General features: G+C 41.5%; 1 annotated feature.

Annotated features, from left to right (window-relative positions):
- Positions 1326 to 1526: a silencer, noted in NCBI's record as "peak4594 fragment used in MPRA reporter construct". NCBI's record gives its function as "represses an SCP1 promoter by STARR-seq MPRAs in K562 erythroleukemia cells {active_cell/tissue: K562}" and the evidence as "EXISTENCE:reporter gene assay evidence [ECO:0000049][PMID:32103011]".

A 2014-nucleotide genomic window follows, 5' to 3' on the forward strand; every position in this document is an offset into this window, starting at 1 on the left:
TGCAGACTGGCTAAGCCGATGTTGGTGTGCTTGGAGGGAAAGGAAGACTGGCCTTTGTGGCAGAAAAAAGCCATCAGGGGCTCAAAAGAAAATAGGGACATGGGGGCCGGGCGCGGTGGCTCACACCTGTAATCCCAGCACTTTGGGAGGCTGAGGCGGGGGGGATCACGAGGTCAGGAGATCGAGACCATCCTGCCTACACAGTGAAACCCTGTCTCTACTAAAAATACAAAAAAAAAAAAAAAAAAAAGCTGGTGTGGCGGCATGTGCCTGTAGTCCCAGCTGCTGGGGAGGCTGAGGCAGGAGAATGGTGTGAACCTGGGAGGCGGAGCTTGCAGTGAGCCGAGATCATGCCACTGCACTCCAGCCTGGGTGACAGAGCGAGACTCCGTCTCAAAAAATAATAAATAAATAAATAAATAAAATAAAATAAAATAAAATAGGGACATGGGAGTTGACCTCACTAAAGGGCTACCTACTAGATGAAATCTTAGGCTCTTTTGCATTACAGTGTTGGGACATAGCACTAACATTCAATGTGAAAAAAGAAGAGTGATGAGATTTGTTATTCTTTCAGCATTACACATAAGTTTTTCTTGTTTCGAGGAATGCTGATGCCAATGATGACTTCAGGTCTAATTTCAATTACCATTAGTATCTCACCCTGGTTGACTACATTGAATTTACTATCCTCAGACAAGTTGCCTAATCTTTCTCCACTCCTTGCCTCTGACCTCACCGTTCCATTTGCCTTGGCATCAGTCCTTACTTGATTCTTTCTTCATCTGGCAAATATGGCTGGCAAACAGCAGCTGTCCTCAGAAGCCTTTCTTCGTTCCAACAAACAGAAATAGGTGTGATTTCTGTTATTTTATAGAATTGTGGTCAAATCTCACTTATTCAATATTACACTTAATTAAAATTATCTCATTTTACTGTAGAATTCTGTTCAACTTTTATTTTACATTTTACACTCTCTTATTATTAAATTCCTCACATCTTTATGTCCTTCCCTGGACTATGAATTGGTGCCCTGAGAATCTAGACACCTTATATTCACCTTAAAATCCCATCATCCAGTAGGGTGTTGGATATGTAGGAGATGTTCAGGAAATCTTGTCAAATAATTGAATGAATTTCATGTAGCCACAGAAAAGTTCTGTTTTGGAAAATAAACTGAAACAATATTTTAGCAGGGCAATTTGACAATATATATTTCAAATTTAAACTGTTCACATCCTTTGACCAAGAGATTTCCTCCTGGGAATTTGAGCTATGAACAATCCTCCTACATGAAAATTCATTCAACCTGGCTGCTTTAGCTTAATGTATATGGTTGTGATCATATAGTAGAGGTTGGCCATGCTTTGTTACATTTGATATTCAACCATTTTCATTTACCACTTCATAGTCTTCATACACATAATTTTTGTGACAATGTAAATGGTTCATATGGTGTCTGTTCCTTGGTTTGCTTAGCTGTTCTCATATTGTGGAATTGCATTTGTTATTCTTTCAGCATTACACTTATATTATCCAGTGATCACCTTTACATATAAAGGTTTTTGTGTTGCTAGGAAGACAAAGCGCATGTTGGATTGCCCAATTATTTCTTGACTCTTTTTTTTTTTTTTTTTGAGACGGAGTCTCACTCTGTTGCCCAGGCTGAAGTGCAATGGCGTGATCTCTGCTCATCACAACCTCCACCTCCCAGGTTCAAGCGATTCTCCTGCCTCGGCCTCCCGAGTAGCTGGAACTACAGGTGCGCACCACTGTGCCTGGCTAATTTTTGTACTTTTAGTAGAGACAGGGTTTCACTATGTTGGCCAGGCTGGTCTCTAACTCCTGACCTTGTGATCTGCCCACCTCAGCCTCCCAAAGTGCTGGGATTACAGGCGTGAGACACCGCACCCAGACTTTTTCCTTCAACTTTTAAGTTCTGGGGTACATGTGCAGGATGTGCAGGTTTGTTACATAGGTAAGGTGTGCCATGGTGGTTTGCTGCACAGATCAA

The sequence above is a fragment of the Homo sapiens genome, chromosome 3 (genome assembly GCF_000001405.40).
Source record: "Homo sapiens chromosome 3, GRCh38.p14 Primary Assembly".
Lineage (NCBI taxonomy): Eukaryota > Metazoa > Chordata > Mammalia > Primates > Hominidae > Homo > Homo sapiens.